General features: G+C 37.2%; 1 protein-coding gene across 1 annotated transcript in view, besides 1 other annotated feature; it reads left to right on the plus strand.

Annotated features, from left to right (window-relative positions):
- LEKR1 (leucine, glutamate and lysine rich 1) overlaps window positions 1–13,009 on the plus strand; it is a 219,777-nt gene extending 206,768 nt beyond the window's left edge. Inside the window, exon 13 of the mRNA NM_001004316.3 lies at window positions 12,220–13,009. Coding sequence (NP_001004316.2) covers window positions 12,220–12,630 — 411 coding nt within the window. The 3' untranslated portion in view covers window positions 12,631–13,009. The remainder of the gene's footprint in view (window positions 1–12,219) is intronic.
- Window positions 9,165–9,332: a silencer, noted in NCBI's record as "fragment chr3:156760074-156760241 (GRCh37/hg19 assembly coordinates)". NCBI's record gives its function as "represses an EF-1alpha promoter that drives an FKBP-Casp9 reporter gene in an ReSE screen in phorbol 12-myristate 13-acetate-treated (for megakaryocytic differentiation) K562 erythroleukemia cells {active_cell/tissue: K562(+PMA)}" and the evidence as "EXISTENCE:reporter gene assay evidence [ECO:0000049][PMID:32094911]".
- Window positions 13,010–24,443: the final 11,434 nt, after the last annotated feature.

Below are 24,443 nucleotides of genomic sequence, written 5' to 3' on the forward strand. Positions count from 1 at the left end.
GCTCAGGACTCCCTATTTGCTGAGGCAAAAACAATATTGAAATTAGGCCAATTAACAACGCTACAATGGCTCCTAAGCATTCAAGTGAAAGGAAGAATTACACATCTCTCACTTTAAGTCAAAAGGCAGAAATGATTAAGCTTAGCAAGGAAAGCAAATCAAAAGTTGAGATAAGCCAGAAGCTAAGCCTCTTGTTCCAGTTAGCCAAGTTGTGAATGCAAAGGAAAAGTTCTTGAAGGCAATAAAAGTGCTACCTCAGTGAATACATGAATGATAAGAAAATAAAACAGCCTTCTTGCTGATATGGAGAAAGTTTGAGTGGTCTAGGTAGAAGATCAAACCAGTCATAATATTCCCTTAAGCCAAAGCCTAATCCAGAGCAAGACCCTAACTCTCTCCAATTGTATGAAGACTGAAAGAGATGAGGAAGCTGCAGAAGAAAAATTGGAAGCTAGCAGTGGTAGGTTTATGAGGTTCAAGACAAGAAGCCATTTCCAGAACATAAAGGTATAAGGTAAGATAGCAAGTGCTCATGTCGAAGCTGTGGTAAGTTATCCAGATCTAGCTAAGATCATTTATGAGGTAGCTACATTAAACAACAGGTTTTCATTGTACATGGAACAACCTTCTATTGGAAGAAGGTACCATCTAGGACTTTCATAGCTGTAGTACAGAAGCTTTGAAGCCAAACTTCAAGAATTAGCCTTCAAAGGACAGTCTAATTCTCTCATTAGGAGATAATGCAGCTAGTGACTTTAAGTTGAAGCCAATGCTCATTTACCATCCCAAAAATCCTAACACCCTTAAGAATTATGCTAAATCTACTCTACTCTGTGCTTTATAAGTGGGACAACAAAGCCTGAATGACAGCACATCTTTTTGCAGCATGGCTTACTGAATATTTTAAGCCTGTTGATACCTACTGTTCAGAAAAAAAAAAAAATCCCTTTCAAAATATTGCTTCTCATTGACAATGCATCTGGTCACCCAAGAGCTCTGATGGAGATGTACAAGGGGATTAATGTTTTCATGCCTGCAAGCACAACATCCATTCTGCAGCGCATGAATCAAGGAACAGTTTTGACTTTCAAGTCTTATTATTTAAGAAATATATTTCATAAGATGATAGCTGTCATAGTTATTGATTCCTCTGATGGATCTGGGCTAAGTAAATTCAAAACCTTCTGGGAAGGACTCACCATTCTAGATGCCATTCAGAACATTCCTAATTCATGGGTAGAGGATAAAATATCAATAATTACAAAAGTTTGGAAGAAGTTGATTCCAGCTCTCATGGATGACTTTGAAGGTTTAAAACTTCAGTGGAGGAAGTGGCAGAAATAGCAAGAGAACTAGAATTAAAAGTGGAGTCTGAAGATGTGGCTGAACTGCTGCAAACTTGAACATATAAAAAGTTACTTCTTATAGATGAGCAAAGAAAGCCATTTGTTGAAATGGAATCTACTCCTGTGAAGATGCTGCAAAAAATATTGAAATTACAACAAAGGATTTGGAATATTATATAAAATTAGTTGATAAAGCAGTGACAGGGTTTGAGAGGATTGACTCCAATTTTGGCAGAAGTTCTACTGCGGGTAAAATGCTGTCAAACAGCATCACATGCTACAGAGAAATCTTTCATAAATGGAAGAGTCCCTTGATGTGGCAAACATCATTGTTGTCTTTTTTTTTAATTTTTATTTTCTTTTTGAGACAGAGTTTCACTCTGTTGCCCAGGCTGGAGTGCAGTGGCGCAATCTCAGCTCACTGCAACTTCTGCCTCCCAGGTTCAAGTGATTTCTGTGCTGTTGTCTTCTTTTAAGAAATTGCTACTGCCATCCCAACCTTCAGCAACTTCCACCTTGATCAGTCAACAGCCATCAACATTGAAGCAAGACCCTCCACCAGCAGAAGATACAACTTGCTGAAGGCTCAGATGATTGATAGCATTTTTTAGCAGTAAAATATCTTTAAATTAAGGTATGTACATTTTTTAGACTTAATGCTATTGCACACTTAACTACAGTATGTTGTAAACATAATTTTTATATGCAATGGGAAACCAAAAAATTCATGTGACTTTCTTTATTGCAATATTTGCTTTATTTTGGTCTAGAACCAAACCCACAATATCTCTGTATGCCTATGCCTCTGAAAGAGGGATGTAAGGGTGGAATTGAAAACAAGGCTGTTTGAAAGATTATAAAAGGACCAAACAGATCATCAGAGATGTCCTCCCAGTTCCCAAGAAGCCCCTGCCCACCATCCTGGCAGAATACCAGGGGTTTACTCTCTAGCAAAACTGAATGAGAAAAGGCACTGAACCTGAGGACAGAAGAGATAAAGCAAGAGTATATTAAGTATGGAGACTTCCCAGTACCCTTCACACTCTCATGTTTCAGAACACAAGTAACCAGGCTTATGTATTAATAGCCATAAAAAAAGAAATTGGAAGAGCCCCTTCTGGAGAAATGAGCTGCCTCAAAAGATAACACCAGCCTGGCAGAGTGGCTCACACCTGTAATCTCAGCACTTTGGGAGGCCAAGGCAGGCAGATCACATGAGGCCAGGGGTTTGGGACCAGCCTGGCCAACATGGTAAAACTCCGTCTCTACTGAAAATACAAAAATTAGCCTGTCGTGGTGCTGCACATCTGTAATCCCAGCTACTTGGGAGGCTGAGGCACAAGAATCATTTGAACCCAGAAGGTGGAGGTTGCAGTAGCGGAGATCACACCACTGCACTCCAGCCTGGGTGACAGCAAGACTCTGTCTCAAAAATAAATAAATAAATAGGATAAGACCCATTGATACTGACAGTTGGGATATTCCAATGAAATGGCTATATCCATGTTCAGTCTACCTACTTAGAAGGATATCAGCCAATAAACTGTATACAAGCACACTGAGCTTAAGGTAACATTTTGGGGACACATTTTTAAACACGAACAGCCAAGGATCACCAATTATTTGAGAAACATCTCTAATGTGAAGAACAGAAACAATAAGCAAAAAAGAACTTCACAGAAAAAAATACAAAACAATACAGGGAGCAAAAGAGAGCTTAAAAATGTATAATTAATATCCTCAGAGAGAAAAGAGATGATATTGTATTCATTAAACATAAACAGCCAGCTATGAAAAAAGAACAAGAGTGAATATTAAAATATAAGGACTGAAATTTTAAAAAAATCAATATTTGGGTTAGATGATAAAGATGTGAAATCTCCTAGAAAGTAGAAGAAAAAAGCAAAAAGATGGAGAAAAGAAAAGAAAATTCAAAGGAATAAGAAATAGAAGACAGTGCCTTCCAAATTCCAAAGGAAAATTATGCCCAGCCTAGAATTCTATATCCTGCCAAAACAATCCGTCAAGCATCAAACGCAGATATTTTCAGACTTAAGAGTTCTCAAAAATGATACTACCCTGGCAGCCTTTTTCAGAAAGCTGTTAGAAGATATATGACAGCACAATGATGGAATAAGTAATAAAGGAGAAAATATAGGAATCAGGAAATAAGGAATCCAACACAGGAGAGGGATGGAGGGAATCCCAGGATAATGGTGGGAAGAAATGCTAGGATTACAGCAGTGCATCAGATTGAAAGAATAACCAGACCAAAAGAATGGAAGTTTCTTAGAATGTTGAGCAGAAGAATGGTGGGTTCTTAGAAGTATGTCTCCAAGAACAAAGAGAAGCTGATAGCTTACATGGGGTGTTTGAACATGTTGAGAGGATATTTACACTTCTGTAAGTTTGGTGAAAAATTAATATCAACACCCAGAAAATGAAGCAGAAAAATTATGAGACAATAACTCTGGATGGAAGCTATGCAAGGAAGAAAATGTCATCTTAGTACATAACATGGCCCAGATGTGCATATGCTTATATACTATAATCATATAAAGATGAATATAGATTAAGCTAAAAATTGTGACAGAAATATGAGGATAGGAGGAGGAGCAGCATCTGTTGGGAATTGGTATAGGAAGCTGAACCCTCATCTTCCATTCCATGCAGTCAATAGATATGTTCCAAACTGAAAAACAAAGAAGTATAATGATGTTATTTTGAAGTACTGAGGGTAACTATCAGAAGAAATAGTTTAAAGATCTGAAAATGGTTATTCCTGGGAGGCAGGACTTGGAAATGTGAAGAAATGCTTTTTTCATTGTGAGTTTTAGTATTATTTTACTTTTTAGCTATATGTAATCCATTAATTTTAAAAAATTAAAAATAATAGAAAGGAATAAAGTATAAAAAGGACCTAGTAGAGAAGGTGGCAGAGACAAGAATAAAGGTCAAGCAAGGAATATTGAAGAAAAATCAGGAAAGTTACAAGTAAAACAAAAGCAACAGAATATAAACCTTAATGAGATTTTCTTTTCAGATTATGAGAAATGAAAAAATTAAGACAAAGCAGATTCTAGCTTAAACTTAGTAACAGGTGCCTAGTACACTTCTGTTTATTCCCCAAGTCTAAGTGCAAGGAGAACCCCTCCATGAATCCACAAAATCCCAGAGGCAAAATTAGCTATACACCTGTGTGCCTACTGCAGTTGCTTATTTATGCATTCATTTAACAGGTAAAGAGTTTTGTTGTTTTTATAGATGCTAAGGAAAAAATAAATCAGGGTAAAAGGGATACTTTCTGAAGGAGGGGTGCTATATTAGATGGGGTAGTAAGAGGACTCTGAGGAAATAATGAGGCAAAGAGCATTCCAGGGAAAGAACACTCCAGGCAAAGGTAATAGAAAGACTCTGCAGCAAGGAACATACTGGGAACCTTAAAGAAGCCACAAGGAAGTCAGCAAGCACTGCTGGAGCTTAGTGAGCAAGGATAGTGATAGAAACCAAGGTTGAAGGGCCAGTTCACATGGAGTCTTCGTAGGCTATGATAAGGTCTTTGGATACTTTGCTAGGTGTGATAGAAAGCCACCTAGGAATTTCGAACAAGGAATTGACATGATCTGACTTATTTTTAGAGGATAACTGACTTCTGTGTAGAAAATAGGTTGAAGAGGGCAAAAAAGAGAGCAAGGCTGTGAAGGAGGTGACCAATCACCAGATTTGGGATATATTTTAGGGGTGAAGGCAATAGAGGTTGCTGATTGATTGGATGATATGAAAGCATAAAAAGGAGTCAAGGATAACTCCAAAGCTTGGAATCTCAGCAACTGAGAGAGTGCTGAGATGGGAAATGCTAGAAAAGAAATACAATTGGGGAGGAATATCAAGAATTTTATTTGGGACATGTTGATCTTAATATGCCTGTTAGATACCCAAGTGGAGATGTTGACTAGGCAATATGTCCATAGGGAAGGCAAGCTGGAGATGTCGATTTTGGACAATTCCACATGTAGCTGATACTTAACCCTTGGGACTGAATGAGATCACCCAGAGGATGAGGTAATAGAGCAAGGGTTGAGAACAGGCACTCTTAACTTTTAGAGCCTGGGAAGAGGAGTAGAATCTAGCGATGGTGACAGAAAAGGAACTTCTGGTGAGGTGGGAAGAAAACCGGAAGAGAACACTATCAAGGACTCTAAAGAAAGACTGTATTTAAAGAAGGGTACATGCAATATAGACAGGCCCACAGTCCCTTATCTGAAAACTTTGTGCTCAGATATAAAATTATTTTGAATTTTAGAAAGTTAGTAAGTACAGTATGTCCTCATAGATGTAGGGCAGCCTCCCCATGCAATGACATTAATACTTCTGCAGTGAAACATCTGAATGTTCACATGAAATAGAATAAAGACTGTAATTAGCCTCCTATCAGTTCAGTCAGATTTTATCACTAACTGTGATGAGCTACAGCATTTTTTTCTTTTCAGAGCTTTTTGGATGTCAAAAGTAAGGCTAAAGGACTATAGATCTGTATTGGCTTTCATTAAAACAGCTGTTTTTATTGTTTATTGCCCAACAATCTCCTAGCATCTCGAATCTCTTTTGTTTAAAAAACAAAGGAAAGTACATGTGTATCTCTACAGGGCTACCAAGATGATAGGAAAAAATCAAGGATTTGCCTCCTATTAACAGTGGTTACCTTAGAAGTGTAGGAAGAGATAGACAGGGGTTTTACTTCTTACATACTTTTTAAAAACATTGGCATCATGGGTTATTTTTAACATTTTGGTGTTTTGAAAATATGTTTCCAATGTAAACTCTATTTTTAAAAAAAGAAAGAAAGAAATTCCATTTACATAAGAAAGTTCAGGCCAAGTGTGGTGGCTCACGCCTATAACCCAGCATTTTGGGAGCTCAAGATGGGAGGATTGCTTGAGCTTGGAGTTCAAGACCAGCCTGGGAAACATAGGGAGACCCTGTTTTTACAGAAAATACAAAAATTAGCTGGGCATGGTGGCACACGCCTGTAGTCCCAGCTACTTGGGAAGCTGAGGAAGGAGGACTGCTTGAGCCTCGGGGGTTGAGGCTATAATGAGCCGTGATCGTGCTTCTGTACTCGAGCCTGGGCAACAACCTGAAACCCTGTCTCAAAAAACGAAAAGAAAAAAGCTTATTAACAAATCTAGCAAAGACGGATTCATGTAAACTCTAAGATTAAATTTTAATAATACATGGTATTTGCAAGCACAAATAGTTTATTTGCAAGAGGGACTTGCTTAGTTTTAGGGTAAGCATTTATTACATTTGCATGTTTAATCAGTATACAGAATATGGCACACACTTCTCTGGTAATTCCTTCTATGAGAATGGAGAAGCCAAAGTACCAGCAAGTAAATTACCAAAAAGTAGTTCTCAGTTTGGGAACATAATAAATTAGAATATTTACGTCTTTTTTAAAGAGTAAGAGGGTAAAGGGAGGTTCTCCAACCTCCAGCAGGAAACATGGGGAGGATCAAGAAAGCTTTTAGGGACAGGGACTATACCTAGGCTTGGTTGGCAGGGAGGATGAGTGAACTGACCACCTGAGAACCTTAGCCTTGGGCCATGGGGCAGAAGGGGGCTCAGACTGGGAGTCTCTGTGGTGAGGAAGATACCAGAAAGTTGACAGAATGAGAAGATATATTGAGAAATTTTTGTATATTTAATTAGTGCTAGTTAAATTTTGTATGTTTAATTAGTGCTAATTAAATCTAAATTAAGTTGGATTATTGACTTAGAAAAGTAAATGTTGAATACTTTGTCATCATGGGCTCTTCCTCTCTGTCCTGAAAATCTGCCTCTGAAGCATATCAGTCTGAGGGATTATTGCCCTCTGTTGCTACAACTTTTGTTTGGGTATGTCTATTGCAGTTGGTTTTATTATGTTTGTAAGCAGGGAAATATAATTTTGAAAACAACCAGCCTGACATCCATCTTACTTGTTTCCTGGAAATCTTTTCAGATTCTCATTCTTCTCTTACCAAAAGGCCATTTCCACTAACTTTTGGCAGTGTTTTGGACTGATCAGATTAGTTGAACAGAAGCCTGGAAGCCTTTGAATGGAAGCTGGGAACATCCTTTGCTAACTCCCACTCATCTTTCTGGTTTCCACACTTTTCCACAGAATTTCCTTTTACCTCAGCTCCCCACCCACCTGGACAGCCACCCACTCACCTTGGGATATATCCAGTTAAGGCTGGTGGAAACTGTAATCTGATCATTCCATGACTGATTCAGATCTTACTGGGTCTAAAGCATGAACAAAGCCATCTATCTGTGATTGTTCTTCACTGAGGAGGACTTGCTTTCCTGGCATGTTCCCCCCAAAATTGTGCCAAATACAGCTGATTCCCGTTGCAAATGGGAGTCTTACCTTCAGAACAATCAAGTTACACAGTAAAACCTTCTCTCCCTTCTTCCACTGTTTTTGAAATTTAAAGCAACCCAGCTGCCTCTAAGAATAAAAAGGAAAACAAATATAAAAATAAACCACTCTTATATTGCAAGGAGTAGGGGAAATTGGCCACTTTTTAATATTAGAAATTTCAAACATATGGTGAACTAATTTATATTTTCATTTTGACATTTTCCTTCTCAGGGGGAGGGCAATTAAGTCATATTTTAAGCCCATTCAAGGTGGGCTTATTCTGAAAATGTTGTAGTGATATCTATAGATCATGCTCGCCACCAATCAGCAGAACTTAAGGATGCAGGAATGCCTAGTTCTCCCCTGCCTAGACCACCTGACCCAAGGGGCACTTGAGATAAGGACTTCCTCCATGAAAATTTGGGGCTCCTACTGTCCTCCCTGGCTCCCATCTTGCTCAACTTCAGGCTGTTTTCCACAAAGCTGGCAAAGGGATCTTCCTTTCATGCAGATTTGATCATACCAGCCATCTGCTTGAAATAAACTTTCAATGACTCCATATGAGCCTCAGGATTAAGTCAAAACCCTAGTATTAGCACACTAATAAATTTTCTCTTGATCTGACCCTGCTCACTCTTCCCTATATCAGTCCTGGTCTCTCCTCCCCGTGTGCACCTGCCTGAGTCATATTAAGCCATATTTCATCCCAAGGTGTGCCTCTCCTTCTCTCACTGCCCACTCTGCCTTGAAAACCTCATTGCCCCTTCTTCACCTGGCTCATGCCTTCCTTTCCATTTTGACTTCCAGTCTAGTTACAATCCAATGATTCTATTTTTGCCATGTTAAAATATGGCCAAAGATAATTTTATCTAAAACATAGAATATTGTGCATGATTTTCAGTCTTACTGAACATATTTCATCTTGCACATTTGTCCTTGTTGCTCAGTGAAAACACATTAAAATTCTGCAACAATCCAACCTTCATCTTGACTAAATTGCTGAAAACTAACCACTAGCAGATGATTCTTTTCACGTATGATGGAATTTTCCACTAATGTGTATACTTACTCTAGGCACATCCACATATCCTCTAGTCATGCCTTATCAGACTACACCCCTGAAATAGCAATCCCCTATATTTCCATTGTTTTATTTTCATTTTTTAATCCCATAATTGAATAGATTATAAATCTGAATTGCCTATTGAACAAAACAGAGTTATAATCTCAATTTTAGAGGAGGAGGTAATGGTGGCAGATGATATGAAGATATTGTGAGGTTCACCTAACATTTCATAATGTTTTGGCACAGAAAAGAATAGAAGTATCAATTTTGGATCCTATTTTCAATTCAGGGGTCCTCCTGGTTTGGGAACTAATAGAAGAAAGAGGATTAATCCTTTGTCTTGCAAGCTAATAACCTTGAAGAAAGATGAGTTGCAGAGCAGCGGGCCCCAGGCAGTCAGCAGCTCTTCCCCCACCCCGCTGGCTGGCCCCATTCACTTACTTTGTAATATGTCTAGTCAGTGTTGGTGGAAACTATAATCTGATCCTTCCATGACTGATTCAGACTTCACTGGGTATAAAGCATGGGTGCACAGTTCAGCTTAGAGTCTGCCAGGAATTTGCTCCCATTGAACTTGCTATGAGGACATCTTTTGGCTCACTCTACCTTTTCATGTTCTCCTTAGTGGAATGTCACTTGCCTGAAATAGCTTTTATGTGACTTGCTTTTTGGTTGTTTTCTCCAGATCATTACTCCTTTCCTTTGAGACTTGAATTTAATCTTAGTAAATTGATTGAATTTATTTTTCTTTTAAGAAGAGCTCTTGTCATCACATCCTCCATCACTTTATCATTCCATATTGTTGTGCCTGTTATTCATGTCAGTAATATGTTGGCCTCATTTTTCATTGCTTTATTTCTTTTACATATTCAAATAAAATTAACTCTTTCTCATTGCTTTCTTAATTAGTGATATTTTTATACTAATTTATTGAAAACCAAGCCACTTGATATGGTTTGGATCTGTGTCCCCACCCAAATCTCATGTCAAATTGTAATCCCCAGTGTTGGAGGTGGGGCCTGGTGGGAGGTGTTTGGATCATAGGGGCAGTTTCTCATGAATGGTTTAGCACCATCCTGTTGGTGCTGTTCTTGTGATACTGAATGAGTTCTCATGAGATCTGGTTGTTTAAAGTGTGTAGGGCCTCCCCCCAACTCTCTTGCTCCTGCTCCCGCCATGTAAGATGCATCATTATCCCTTTGCCTTCCACCATGACTAAAAGCTTCCTGAGGCCTCCCTAGAAGCAGAAGTGGCTAAGCTTCCTGTACAGGCTGCAGAATCATGAGCCAGTTGAATCTCTTTTCTTTATAAATTGCCCAGTCTCAGGTATTTCTTTAGAGCAATGCAAGAATGGACTAATACACCACTTTAATAACTCCAACACGTTGCCAGCTTACTCTACTAGTAGGCAAAAAATATAATGGATTGGGTCTTCCCCCCACTTTAAAAGAAACTTTGATTAATAGAACTTAGAAAACCTGGGCAAAACCAGATGAAAATGTCCTTCTGTGTTTTTTTTTTTTTTCAGTGTCCTGGGAACAAAATGGTCCCTGCATGTTTGACGTAATGAATTAGACAACTAATTTAGGCATAGGCAGCATGGAGCAGGTCTCTGAAAGTGAGCAGGGCTACTACTTCAGAGTGGAGTTACTCTCAGCAAGTTACATAACAGTGTGAGCTTCAGTGTCTTTATTCGTCAGATATAATTGTTGGGAGCAGGAAATAAGATGACACCTAACATGGTGCCTTGTTAATCTTCCTCTCTATTCCCTCCTCCCCTGCCTTTTCCACAACTGTTTCCACTAGAGTTAATGAGAACTAGGTGATAAAGCCACAAACACCATCCTTGCTCTCTCCAGTTCCTCCAAAAAATAAAAATAACTGGAAGCAAGTGATTAACCCATGATTTTTTTAAAATGTGTGTCATGTAGTAAATAAATCGTATATGTAAATGATGAGTATTTGTTTGACCCAGGAATGCAGCTTTTATAAAAAATTACTGTGCAACTGGCTAATCTGGAATTGCTCCATATTTTTCCATTTTGATTACCAAATTTGGAATTGAATAGAGTTCTGTCTATAATCATGAGAAACTCAAAAACAGGAAGATACTACTGTCCCTGGTGCTTTGTTATTTAGTTCTTCTGACAGCAGATTAGTCAGTCAACCCTTAGGGAGGATGTTTTACACTAAGAAGCAGACTTGGGAATGCCTTGGCTGTTTTTACAAACAAGGTAACCTAATGGAAATTCATTTTTGAGTTGATGAATCCTATAGCACACTCATTTTACTTGTGTTTACTTACTAGGATACTGCTTTGAATTATTTACTTTTCAGCCTCATTTTTGACATCATAAAGACATGAATGTCAGGACACTGGGGAGATCCAAGACTTAATTCTTACCATGGGACTTGAAATAATTTTGATGAATTCCATAGACAAAACATAGGTAACACCTCAACTAGAAATGCAGAATTTCAGAATTTCGAAGAGACTTAATTATCTCTAGTCCAGTCACACATTTGAAGCTTAAATTTGCTTCAGTACATCCCTGTCAAGTGAGATTCAACCCTTGAGTGTCCTCCAGATAGATCTATTAAAAAGTTCTTCCTTATTTTAATCCCCACAGTTTTCACCTTGGGTCTAGATTCTATTATGGACATAAAAGGCAGTTCTGCTCAAACCTACGAAGGTACAAACTTCTTGAGGGCAGGGACTGTATTCACTACAGCTTCTAGTAACTTGGTAAATGATTGCTGAATGAATAGAATTAGTAGCAGAAGATCTTCTCTATTTTGGGATATTATCTTACAGAATGGCAAATGAGCCTCTTATTTAAGTTCCACTGAGAAAGCATCATATGAGAACTGATTTTATTGTTTCAACGCTATAGCTGATTTTTTTATTCTTTCAATCTTATACTTCAAGCACTTTTACCTGTTTATGTTATTATAGTATACCTTCACTACAAAAGAATATATTTAATGACTCTACAGCTATTAACTATTGAGTATTACATGTGCAGAGCATACTGTCTGCGACTTGAGGCAGAGAAGTTGAAACTCCACTGAAGTTAGGTATAAGAAGTCCTGAGTTCTAACTCCAGCCGCACCACTAACATCTGAGTAACCCTGGACAGGTCACTCAGTCTCTGTAGTTCTTGACTCCTCATCTGCAAACTGCAAGGGTTGAACCAAATATTTTCTTCAACTTCTTTCCACCATCACAGATTATTTCTGTTCTTGACTTGTCTGTCCCATGAGGTAGAGTGTCATAGAGACAAAGAATACAGACCTCTGATTTCCAGTTCTGTTCTCAAATTGTATTGTCCGTAACTATCTACTTATGTACATTGTTTAAAGCTAAGTCTGCTTTCTTTTCCCCTCTCTCTTTTCAGAATACTTTTCTTCAGGAGACAGTGCGTAGAGAATGTGAAGAACGCTTTGAACTGACAGAGGCTTTGAGTCAAGCCAGAGAACAGCTCCTGGAGCTCAGTAAGCTTCGTGGAAGTTTACCATTCTCACCGTGTTCCCTCAGCAAGGGCAGCCTAACCTCCCCTGCTGCAGCAGTCAGTAATCATGGAGAGAGAAGCCTTGCAAGACTGAACTCTGAAAAAGGAATCCAAATTCCCAACCTGCGCGGGGTGTCAAAACCCACCACTTTCCCAACCTCAGATAAGCCGAAGAGGGTTAGATCAGGCGTGCCCATTCTCCCCCAGCCACATCCTCCCAGGGGTGGAGCATCTTCAGCAAATGAGACTAGACAGAGACTGGCTGCCATTCTTAGGAGAAGGCGGAGTCAGCAATGATCCAAAATGAGGAGCAGGAAGCTCCCTACAGCGTGCACGCTCTTTCAGAGAGTGCCAGGAATTCACTGTAACTGAGAATGACAATGATAAAATTATTTTCACAGATCAGGAAGGCATACCTATAGATGTATTTAACAAAAGACTGTAAAAAGCTGGAAAATTGTGAAGCCTTATTTTTCAAGAGGGTTTTGATAGAGTAACAGATCATTAAGTTGTTGGTATTCCAGAGGTCCGATTTCTATGTTTATGTTGGAATGTGCTCTATGAATATAGCCTTTTAGAGATCACAGGTAAAATTTTTCACCCATAACATCTTTTCAATTTCTTGCGCCACTACAAGCAGATATATTTCCACAAAAAAATAGATTGTTTGAGATTTGTTGGTATGTGTTCATTTGTTTGTTGAGCCGAATAGGTTAAATCGATGTAATAAGTATTCCAAACAGAAAAAAAAAGTACTTTATCTAATTAAAATTAGATAATCTCCAAAATGCTTAGTTCAGGTAGTTGCAGAGCTCATCATCATAATCAAAAACATCTTTTCCTCACCTTACAATCTAATTGGTTAATCTAATTTCTCTTTAGGCTAGCTCAGAGTTAATGATAGATAACCTTCAGGAAGACAATCTTCTCTGAGTGGCTGGGGACCTTCTAGAAAAAGAGATGGTAATGTCAATTCAAGGAAATGGTAGTTTATTTCTCAAATTATGTAGATTATTTTAGTAAACAAAGAACCTGATCATATTGATAGATACTTTCTACAATGAGTGCTTTTTGGTACTCAGAGTTAGGTCTTTATTAGACCTTGTATTCTCGAACCATTGGGAAAAGAACTAATTCAAGACAGTTTAGTAAAGTTATACAGAGCTAATTTGGGATTCAAATTTTATTACCCCTGAAAATGGGTAACTGGTTAACATGTTTTCTATTTTCAGAGTGAAAAAGTAAAACCAGAAGCCAGATCATCTATTCTATTTTAAATCTGCAGACACTTCCTGTTTCTTAAAACACAACTCTTTGCCTTAGTCTAGTGTTCATCTATGTTTTTCTCCATCTAATAGAAGTGTATTTTCCTTCAAAAACTAACTTTACTTAAATACTCCATCTGACTACATCATGAACATCCAGACTTCCTATTCCCATATTAGAATAATAGTAACACATTTAAAATATGCTACATAAAATTCTCTGCTATTTGACCATCTTAATAAGATCAGAGAATTCAAAGGTGTTTGGGATCCCTTCCATGTGCAAAAGATGTAAAGTTACTAAACAAAATCAAATTGATTTCTAGTCTTCCAAAAGATTAGTCTACTCTATTAATAGAGTATCTTAACCTCAAAAAAATTCCACATTAGGTCCACTGATTTGCCTGACTAGTTTAAGTATGGCCTCTTGTGTTAAGAGTTGAATGCTTACTTTTGTTTTGCAAAGATTGGCATCCCTTGTAATGGCCTTTGACAAGAGAGCACAACATCATTGAAGAATGGCACTGGGTGGATCTTAGAAGTCACCCCAACCGTAATTTTACAGATAAGGAATAGATGCCCAGAGAGATTGTGACTTGGCTAAGGTAGTACAGCTAGTTAGTAACAACTAGAACCAGAACCACAATCACCTGACCCCAGACTTTCTACCTCACTGGAGCTTCCCAAGCCTCCATCATGACCTTTGTCAATAGCACCTACACTATATGTAGTTTATATTTTTCCTTAAATGCACTTATTTTTTAACCGGAAATTTATGTAAAAAGTAAATTTGACTCAAGGAGAAGTAGCTATAATGAGTTTGATTCACTGTTTTTTTCTTATACACTTGGAAATAAATGTGTATCTAAGAAATGTTGGCTGGGCATGGTGGCTCCATGCTTATAATCCCAGCACTTAGATTGCTTGAGCCCAGGAGTTTGAGATCAGCCTGGGCAACATAAGGAGACCTTGTCTCTACAAAAAATAATAATGAAAATTAGCCAGGCATAGTGGTGCTTGCCTGTAGTCCTAGCCACTTGGGAGGGTAAGCTGGGAGTATCCCTGGAGCCCAGGAGGTCAAGTTTGTAGTGAGCCATGATTGTGCCACTGCCATCCAGCCTGGGCAACAGAGTGAGACCCTGTCTCAAAACAGCAACAACAACACCAGAAGTGTTAGTCGGTGCACCCTCTAAAATCATCTTCTATAATACCAACAGGCGACCACTGCACTGGACCTTAGGGTCTCTGATCTGTTGTTTGCATGTTTAAATTATGAGTACTCATGACATAAGGAAAATGGCAAAATCTAGTGAAAACTTTAGTGAAAGCACAAGAGATTATTGTGTGCAACAGTCTTTGTTATAGGGTTATACATGCTTTTTACAGTCTTGCAATTTCAGCTCATGGAGATACAGTGGGTCTGTATCTTCAGGAACCATGGGGATAAAGTAGGTTTCTTCATTTTTTCTAAGTTATGAACATATTTAGATTTATAAAGTCACACATAAGCTTTTCTAATGGTGATGTAGACTATTACTGCAAAACCTGATTTCTCAGTTTGCTATTACATTTTTGCCTTATTAGTACTTCGGTAAATAATCACTCTGAGAATAGAATCATGATCTGCAATGAGGTTGTATTATACTCCACAAATATATCAGAGAAGTAATTCCATGAATAAACAGAAATGTCATATTAACATTTATTTCAACCTAGACCATTTGAATGGCGACGACTAAGCTATGTTGCCTTTAAAGAAAGACATCTTTAACAACAAAAAAAATAGCGTTATAGTAGGTAACCTACAGGTTAGGAACACATTCAAACTTTTCTTGATTTTCTCACTGATAAATAAGTTCCTGGCATGAGACAGTTATAAGGAATCTTAGGAAAGTAATTGAGTAGGATGAAAAAATAAGGCTCCAAATGCATATAATGGATATTTAGTCTAATACTTTTAATTTCTCCATGGATTGATGTTTGCCATGACTTGCCATGGAAGGATTTACAGGTGTTAAGAGAAAAGATATCAAAGAAAATATTCCTTAGAGAAGTATAACCCTCTGGTTTTCTTCTTAAACTGGTATTCATGGACAAAGATGGAGAATTCTTCTAAGTTAACATAGAATTCTCAAACGATTTTTAAAAGTCTTATTGAATTAAATTACTATATTTGTAGTTGGTCAGAACTACTTAAAAGTCACATTTTCTGGTAAGGGAATTGACTGGAAGATACATTAACACAAAATTATGTAAGACTAAGATATTTTAATGTTCTGTTAGTCTGAAAGTTTTTGTCATATTTAAGATCAATTATTGCTAATTTATTTGACTATGGAGCTAGCTTTCTCAAGTTTTATCTTTTTAAATTCTTATGACTCTTACACTATTGCACTAATAGATCAACCTAGTATCCTAAAAGAGGTAACGCACTACAGCTGAAAATGTTTAACCATTGCGTTGCGGCTTATGGAGCACAGGAAATCAATTTGGTATGTGTTCAAAATTCACAAATGCTATCATGACTATAGATTATTAAACTTTTTTATTTTCACGTTTTAGGAAAATAATGTAGACCATCTCTTGCAAAGGACACCTTTAATGGTCCCCCAAATCATGACAGACAATTATGGTATCATTGCTAAGGTGGTATCAATGGTATTTTGAGAAAGAATTTGACTTTTCTGCTTGAAAATATTAACCCTGTTTAATACCACGTTGTGAAGCCAATACTATTGTGTTGCATTTTTAGAATATTAAATATAAATTATATCATCTTTGTATATTCTGAATTTTACATATAGAATTTTCTTAAGAACATAATAGATGAATCTGGGATACACTTTTCTATGACAATATTTACCATGATCTAGTAAGTCAAAAGATATCCCTCTCTTCCAACATTTATATAGCACAGTGCTTTATATTCATTAGTTAAAAAAAATTTACTAAACATCCCTTACTCCATAAGAAACTATGTGAGAATACTGAGTCACAGTAAGTAATTTGCCCAAAATTAAGTAATTTGGGCAAAATTACTTAAGTAATTTGGGCAAAATTACTTAAGTAATTTGCCCAAAATAATAATAGATTAATAAATAATTTTAAACTTCTGCAGTTTCTGAACATCTTGATCCATAGATTAATACTGAATCTGTATTATTCATTCACTCATTTCTTCAACAGACACGAGGAACTGAAAAAGTACTGTGAGAGCTACAAAGAAAATTAAAGCATCATACAGATTCCCAGGAATTATACAGTAGAGAGCAGGGAGAGAGCATATATAGAAATTAGAATATACAGCAAAGGATATTGGGTAAAAAGAGAATTGACAGCAGGGTGTTATGTGAATTCACCTTTTTGCTAGAAGAATCAGGGAATACTTTAAGCAAGAATTGGCATTTACAATGGATCTTGAAGAATAGATAGGATTTATGGAAGAAGGTATATTAGGTAGAAGAAATGTATAAAAAGAGTCACAAATTCTGTTTATGGGAAATGTAGAAGACATTTGGTGAAGGGAAGTAGTGGGAACCTGAAAAAGTAGGTTGACCTCATTGCATGAAGGTGTTGAATAAGGACCCACTGCAGGCTTTCAACTAGAAGTGACATGGTGTGCATTGTTGAAATTTGGAAGCATTGCTCTAGCAGGGGTGTATTGGAGTAATTATGAGATGGAAAGGCTGGAGATGGGATACTAGTTGGTGGACTAATACAGTAGTTCAGGCAAGAGTTAATGAAATTCTGAGTAAAGATATTGATATTGGGGATAAACAAGAGGCAACTGATTCAAATTCTATTCAGAGAAGGGAAAGGATTTGTTCCCTGTTAAATGCTATTTAATACCACTACCAGCCATTGCCATCTTAGCAGGAGTGCGTTTTATGAGACTGGCTCCAATTAAAGGATCAGCCCCTATCTAAGAATATTACAGCTTCTCTGAAACATGTGAAATAATAGAAACTACATTTTTATATAGGCAACAAATAACCCCACAGTCTCTGTATTCATTTTAAAAATCTCCTTAAAGTTAAAGGAAAATACTAATCTCAATAAATGTCCTAAGAATTATGGAGAAAGACTGGAAATTGACCTTAAAAAGAAATAACTATCTTGGCTTAAAGAATGCAAAGTGCAACTAAATGGGAAGCTTTGGGAGTAACACAGCACAATAAAACTTCTTTTTATTTTCAATAACCATTTATGAAGGAAAATAAAGAAGACAGCAGCTAACATAAAAATAAGAGTTATCTTAAAAATTAATAATTTTATAGTTCTGAAGGGCCTGATGCATCACCTGGTCCAAACCTGTAATTTTACTGTAGACAATAGGGCCCTCAGACGGCCCTATCTAGTCACTTAGTGACTAGAATCTGATTTTTAATAAGATCCTTAGGTGATTCGTATACTCACTGAAGTTTAAAAAGCACTGCTTATGATGTTACCACTGGCCCTGGCATATTCTACTTTTAAGAGCTGTGTATTAGTATTGAACAGAAATAGCCTTGCTGTACTCAGTTCCCTTATGTTTAACTGAAACCTGTGGTACACTGAGACCCACCCTCATAGAATGAACTATTTAACACTCTGACTCCTAGCACGTGCAAATTCTACTTCTTTACCCACTGACTGTGAATCTATAACTCTCCAGGGAAAACTAGTGAATTAAAGAAAATCAATATTCATTCATAAAAGCTTTAAATATTTTATACCAACACCCAAAGCCCTGAGTCTGTAAAGAACTTACTGTTTTAAAAAAAAGTTACTAAAAAAATCCAATAGAAACATTTTGGTTTTGATCATAAGCAACTGAATAATACTAAAATCTAATCTCCTAACAGCATGTGTTTGGAGATCTGATTCCCAAAAGAAAATTGGTAATGCTGGTTGTCTTTTGAGGCTTGTGAGACATAGAATGCTTAGATAGCTTACTAAAATTATGAAGAACATATGACAGTACCATTATTCTCCCTGACAGTAGTTCTAAATGACTTAAATATAACACTGTAACTTGCAGTATTACACATAGATGGATTTATTTCAAAGGTATAGCTAACAATGTCTGAATGAGGATCCATTTAGATTCTCAATTTCAAAATCTATATTTAACACAATGAGGCATTATGCTCACTTGTCTGTAAGGATTAAGTCAGCTCATCTCATGACACCACAGGGTGGCCATCTTCTTTACATTTTTGAATTTAGAAATAATGAAAAGGATTTATTTTGTTTGCCATTAAAAAGCTTTTGAATACCTCTTATTAGCATATTTAGTGCTAATATTTAGCTTGTATGGTTATTTGTTATTACCATTAATAATTCTCATAGTTAATAATTCAAACCAAGAATTAGATAGATATATAATTTAGAATATTGAAGTATTTTTAAGTAGAGCCTTTCACAGGACATTTGTGTAAAAAGACTTAGCACTGGAAATATATTTGCTACAAAACATGAACGTCTGTCTGCATCGTGCCCCATTGCCAGATTTATCTACTTTTCTCCCAAGGGAGCTTGATATGGCCTAACACATTAATCTAAAGAGATACCTTCTGTCTTCTGTCTTCTTAAAAGTGAGTGAGTTCTACAGTTGTCATTTTCTATCCAGAACCTTAAATTTCTAGGGAATTAAGGTTTCTGCTATGATTCAAGTGACTACTTTTTTCACTGATTTAAAGCAGAATTTCTTAAAACCCAGCACAGCCAAGTTTTCATGCACTATTACCAGACTTTTTTAATGGTAGAGTTGAGGTTTAAGCTGGTAAACTGTAAAATAGTATCTCAAGACCGGAATCTTTTTATTTTTCCAAGTAGTACATAGTGTTCACTGTAGTAACTGAGAAATGTATTTTTTTTGAGGTTAGGAAGAAAAGAATCTACTAACTTATTTAATAGCAGTGATTGGCCCGACCACACAAGGACTTACTCTACATGTTCCATGCTCCAGAATTATAAATCAATATTTTTCTAATGTACCCTGCAAAATTTTTTAAACTATGTAACTTTTGCACATTTTTAGGTTGATATCTGAAATAGTTCATCCTAAGTTTAAATAGCTACAAAGAATATTGTAAAGACAACCAGCGTGTTATAAATATTGGCATTTACAAAATAAATTTATTAAGATATTTTCATGGTTGTAAAACTTTTATTGATCTCTTAAATTACTATGAAAACTTGCATAACTTCTAGATTGTAACACAAATGTTACAAATTTTGATAAATATTAGGCAAAGTTTAAATTGTATTAACAATGAATTTCTTGATGAGATGAATGAATACCTAACATTTTGTTTACATTGAATGGAAAAGAATGGTAGATGCAGACAAAAAGAATTGGTCTGTACATAGAATCTTATTTACTTTTTATTAATAGGAAAAAAGTAAACATCTTTAGATGAGGATTTTACTGTTTTGAACATTTCAAACAGTGTCTAATAAAATTATATTAACTACTTCATTAAATAATAAGTGCCAAGGGGAAAGACCTCAAAGAACTTTTATCCAGTATGTTTTCATAGACTAGATAAAAATATATCTTCATATTTTAATCAAAATGTATTTGATTAAAATTTTATTTATAAATGTTGAGTTTAAGAAAACATTGTTAATTACATTTAAAAGAATTAGTGACGCTAACCTATACTTCTTTGGCTATTTAAGATTTTTTTTTCCAGCTAATGATGTGTCCTAGGGATTAATATCAAGAAGAAGTGAAAAGAGCTGCTTATATTTAAATGCATTGCCAGAGGGGGCATTTGCAACAATAAACATTTTTTACTAATGTTGTTTTTGGCTTGCTTTCATGACACTGTCCCTCAGATGCATACTTTAACAAAGCCAGGGCATAGAAAAGGAGAATCATTAGTCCGAAATTGTCTATTCCCATCACTCCACTCTACCTTGTATCTGGACTGAGGAAATTTCAGTGTATACTAAAATATCATGTTTTTAGCGCTACACTTAAACAAGAATATCTATGTCAGGGAAATACCAGAAGCCCTATGAACTAACAATCATCAACTCCTTCAAGTACTCCTAGGGTACACAGACTCCATGTTAAATAAAGACCACTCTTCAACGTTCTCAAGTCAGGTCAACCAGAATCCTGTTTGCGTCAGAGCTTTAGACTTTCTGGCAAAATCCGGTAGAGTACCTCAGGTCCAGGAGTTGGGCCCTAGACCTCAGAACCAAGGCAGAAGCTATGCTCCCTTCCCTCAGCCTGCCTCCACCTAGGAGTTCACTGTGTCTTTGAGGGGACCCTGAGAGCTACTGCATGTCTCATCTGGCCTTGAGCCCCACATAGCATAAGAGGAAAGTCTCCGAGTCAGCATTGGTGGTGTCCTTGTGGTTCTCTGTGACCATATCCCCATGGAAATCCTTATACTCTTAACCAGAGGGACCCCATGACTGACCAAGCCCATCTACCTTACGGAGTCTAAGACAGACCTACAATCACCAAGATAAAAGTTCTTCAATTTCCAGCCCTTGGCAGCAGTGAGAAGAGTAATGAAAGAGAAATGTGAGACATAAAAATTGAGTTTGGGGTCAGGGAGAGCTTAAGCTCTTTGTAACTAACATGGTTACCTGAGCCAATCATTGTTAATGTCATCAAATTCTCAGTATCTATACAACTCACTGACTTGCAGAAAAAGAGATTATACTTGTTTTTACCATTTGTGTCCTAGATGTAGTACACTGGTAGGAAGAGATGGCTCTATTTGATGAAAAGAGAACTTTTTTCCATGTTTTAATGTTGTATTGATGATTCAGATATAGTCATACAACTTAATGTTAGAGTTTGTTTTGATTATGTAGTGAAGGCCTTTGAAAATGCCTTCATCTGTAATTTGTACTTTGATGCTTTAAACTGGTCATGCATATATGTATAGAGTCTATGTTGCTGTACTTAATTTAGTTACTGACATCCTAAATGTTTCTTAGGCTAATTTCATAGGCACACTCTTAATTGTCCATGGTCCCCATATACCCAGGGCTCCTAGAGTCATCCCCACCCCTCCCAGGAACTAGAACAGCTATTGAAAGGGCACAGAGAAGAGTGTCCAACTGGGTCTAAGGGCACATGCCCTGATTGAGTGTATGGTCCTGACTGCTTTTCAATCACAAAATCTTTATGAACTGTTCATTGTTTTATTATTTATGGCTTTTCTGGCCTCATTAATATAAAAGCACCTAAACTTTCAATGACGAGAACTGTGTATTCATATACTATTGAAATTCAACCGTTAAATGTTGAACATAAACCTTTTTTCTAAACCTAATACCATGGGTTTCAGCATACAGATCTTCTCATAAACGTTCTGAATTTTCCTGGACAAATGGTAAGGATATTGTCTCAGCAGTATTTAGATGTAGTCTTAGCCATCCTGAGAGGATAATTTAGCACCAAATCTAACTTATCTAAATACATGTAAAAATGGGGCAATTATACTGCCTTAGCCAACTCACATTAGGGTCAAGGTCTCACTGCAGGTCACTGAGAGGCTTTCCTTCATTACCAAAAAGACTTCCTCCCTGCTTGTTGAAAGGACTGTCTTCACAGGCATCAGGCCTTCTCCCACAGTTTGTGTTCCCACTTTAAAAGTAGTAAATAGACTTCCAGTATAAGATGGCATGACATCTGGCTAACAAGCCTTGAAGCAGCCCCTTCCAATATCCCATTAAAAGCTCTGTGATGGGTCAGGTGTGGTGGCTCATGCCTGTAATCCCAGCACTTTGGGAGGCTGAGGCTGGAGGATCACTTGAGGCTGGGGCAACATAGCAAGACCCCCATCTGTATTAAAAAAAAAAAAAAAGGCCCTGTGATGAAAAAAGACCAAAGACTCACAGCCCAAAAGCAACAGAGTATCAACAAGAACCTCAGCTGGGCATGGTGGCTCATGCCTGTAATCCCAGCACTTTGGGAGGCCAAGATGGGTGGATCACTTGACGTCAAGACTTCGAGACCAGCCTGGCCAACATGGTGAAACCCCATCTCTAATACAAAAATGAACCGAGCGTGCTGACACAAGCCTGTAGTCCCAGGTACTCAGAGGCTGAGGCAGGAGAATCGCTTGAACCCGGGAGGCGGAGGTTGCAGTGAGCCGAGATCATGCCATTGCACTCCAGCCTGGGTGACAGAGTGAGACTCCATCTCAAAAAAACAAAACAAACAAATAATAATCATAAAAAGAAACTGGACCTTCATTGCTGTGCCAACTGGGTGCTGCCCCTCAAGGCACCGAAGGCCACTTTGCTGGGAACATTCTAAGATGGCAAGTCTGAAAAAAAGGCTAAAAAAGTTTGTGTGAGTGGTGGTGGGGAGGGAGAGATGAGCAGTGGTGTTAGATCCTGGGACGTGGAATTCTCTCTGTGCAGCAATGATGTCAGAAGACTAAGCAGCATGTATAGAGAAGTTGGCTATGTTGGAAGATTCCAGGTACACCACAGTAGTAGCAGCAGCAGCAGCAGTATAGTAACAATAACATTATAGGAGCTGACAGGTATTATTTATGATGGGCAATGTATGGTGCTCAGGGCTTTAAACACTTTTAGACCTCAAAGAACCATGTGGTGTTGGTATGTTTACTGGTTTCCTTTTACAGATAAGAAAACAGAGCTATAGAAAAGTTAGCAATTCACTCAAACTGACACAGGTAAGAAGTGGCAAAGCCTGGATTAGGCAAATAGGCACAAATAAACTGGGAACTGGACTAGAGGCTATGCACATCATCTTGCCCTCCAGTTGTGCCTCTGAGAAGGAATATGCTGCTCAACCCTGAGCAAATTTGAAGACATCTCTGTGTCCTTTTGGTGACCAAACAAACAAACAAAGAACTCAGAAACTATGGCAAAAAGCATTACAGAACAAAATAAAGAAGTAGCACGTAGGACCAAGAAAAAAAAAACCCATGGAAAGGATCCACTGTGGAATCTTATAAGGATCCTTTAGGAAGCTATTTAGCATCCTGTCGAAGCACGATATTATAGACCGCATTCCTTTTTTAAAATATCACTTTCTATATTAAGTCTTGAGGTCTTGAACTTTCTGCTTCATTTCTTTAAAAAAAAAATGGTATTCCATCTCTAGCCTTAAAAATACCAGGTCCTCCTAAATACAAAGGAGAAAAAGTATTAATATAGGAGTGAAAGGAGAAGGAGAACTAACAAACAACACAGCAGTTCACAAGATAAAATTCTCAGATAAAGTCAAAGGCCAAATTTTACAAGAATAAAAACATGTTCTAAATCTAGTAACCGTAAGAGCGCTCTTGAAAACTGTCTATAAACGTCCATTTTTGAGAGACAGGCCTTCAAAAGTTTAAAGCTTCTTTTATGGAATAAAGCCTTTTATTCCCAAAGGACATCTACGCTACTTATTCACTGTTAGTAGCAGTATGAAATTAACACTCATGATTTTAGAGTGTGTATAAACTCCCATTGTTTTGTTATCATGCAGAGGATCTTAAAACTCTATCTTTGTTCTTTTTGCTTTGATTTATTTCTACCTTCTTATGTGCTTTCTATTTTTCTAGCTTTCTGCCCTGTCTCTTGCCATCTTTTTTGTTTTCTTCTTTTGCTTATTCCTCTCCCCACCTCCTCTACCTTCTGCTTCTTTGGAAGCAATTATCTCTATTTTAATTTTAGGAGTTACCATAGACATGTTAACGTGCTTGCTTAAAGTTAATTTCTTGATGCTGTACCCAAGCAATGCAGGAACCATAGAATACTTTATAATTTTTCATCTTCTTCCATTTTGTATTATACTTTGGCTAGTATTTGGATTCTATATTGTTTTTTAATCTCACAAATTAGATATTATTATTATTTTTACATGTAGCC

This window comes from Homo sapiens, chromosome 3, assembly GCF_000001405.40.
Source record: "Homo sapiens chromosome 3, GRCh38.p14 Primary Assembly".
NCBI lineage: Eukaryota > Metazoa > Chordata > Mammalia > Primates > Hominidae > Homo > Homo sapiens.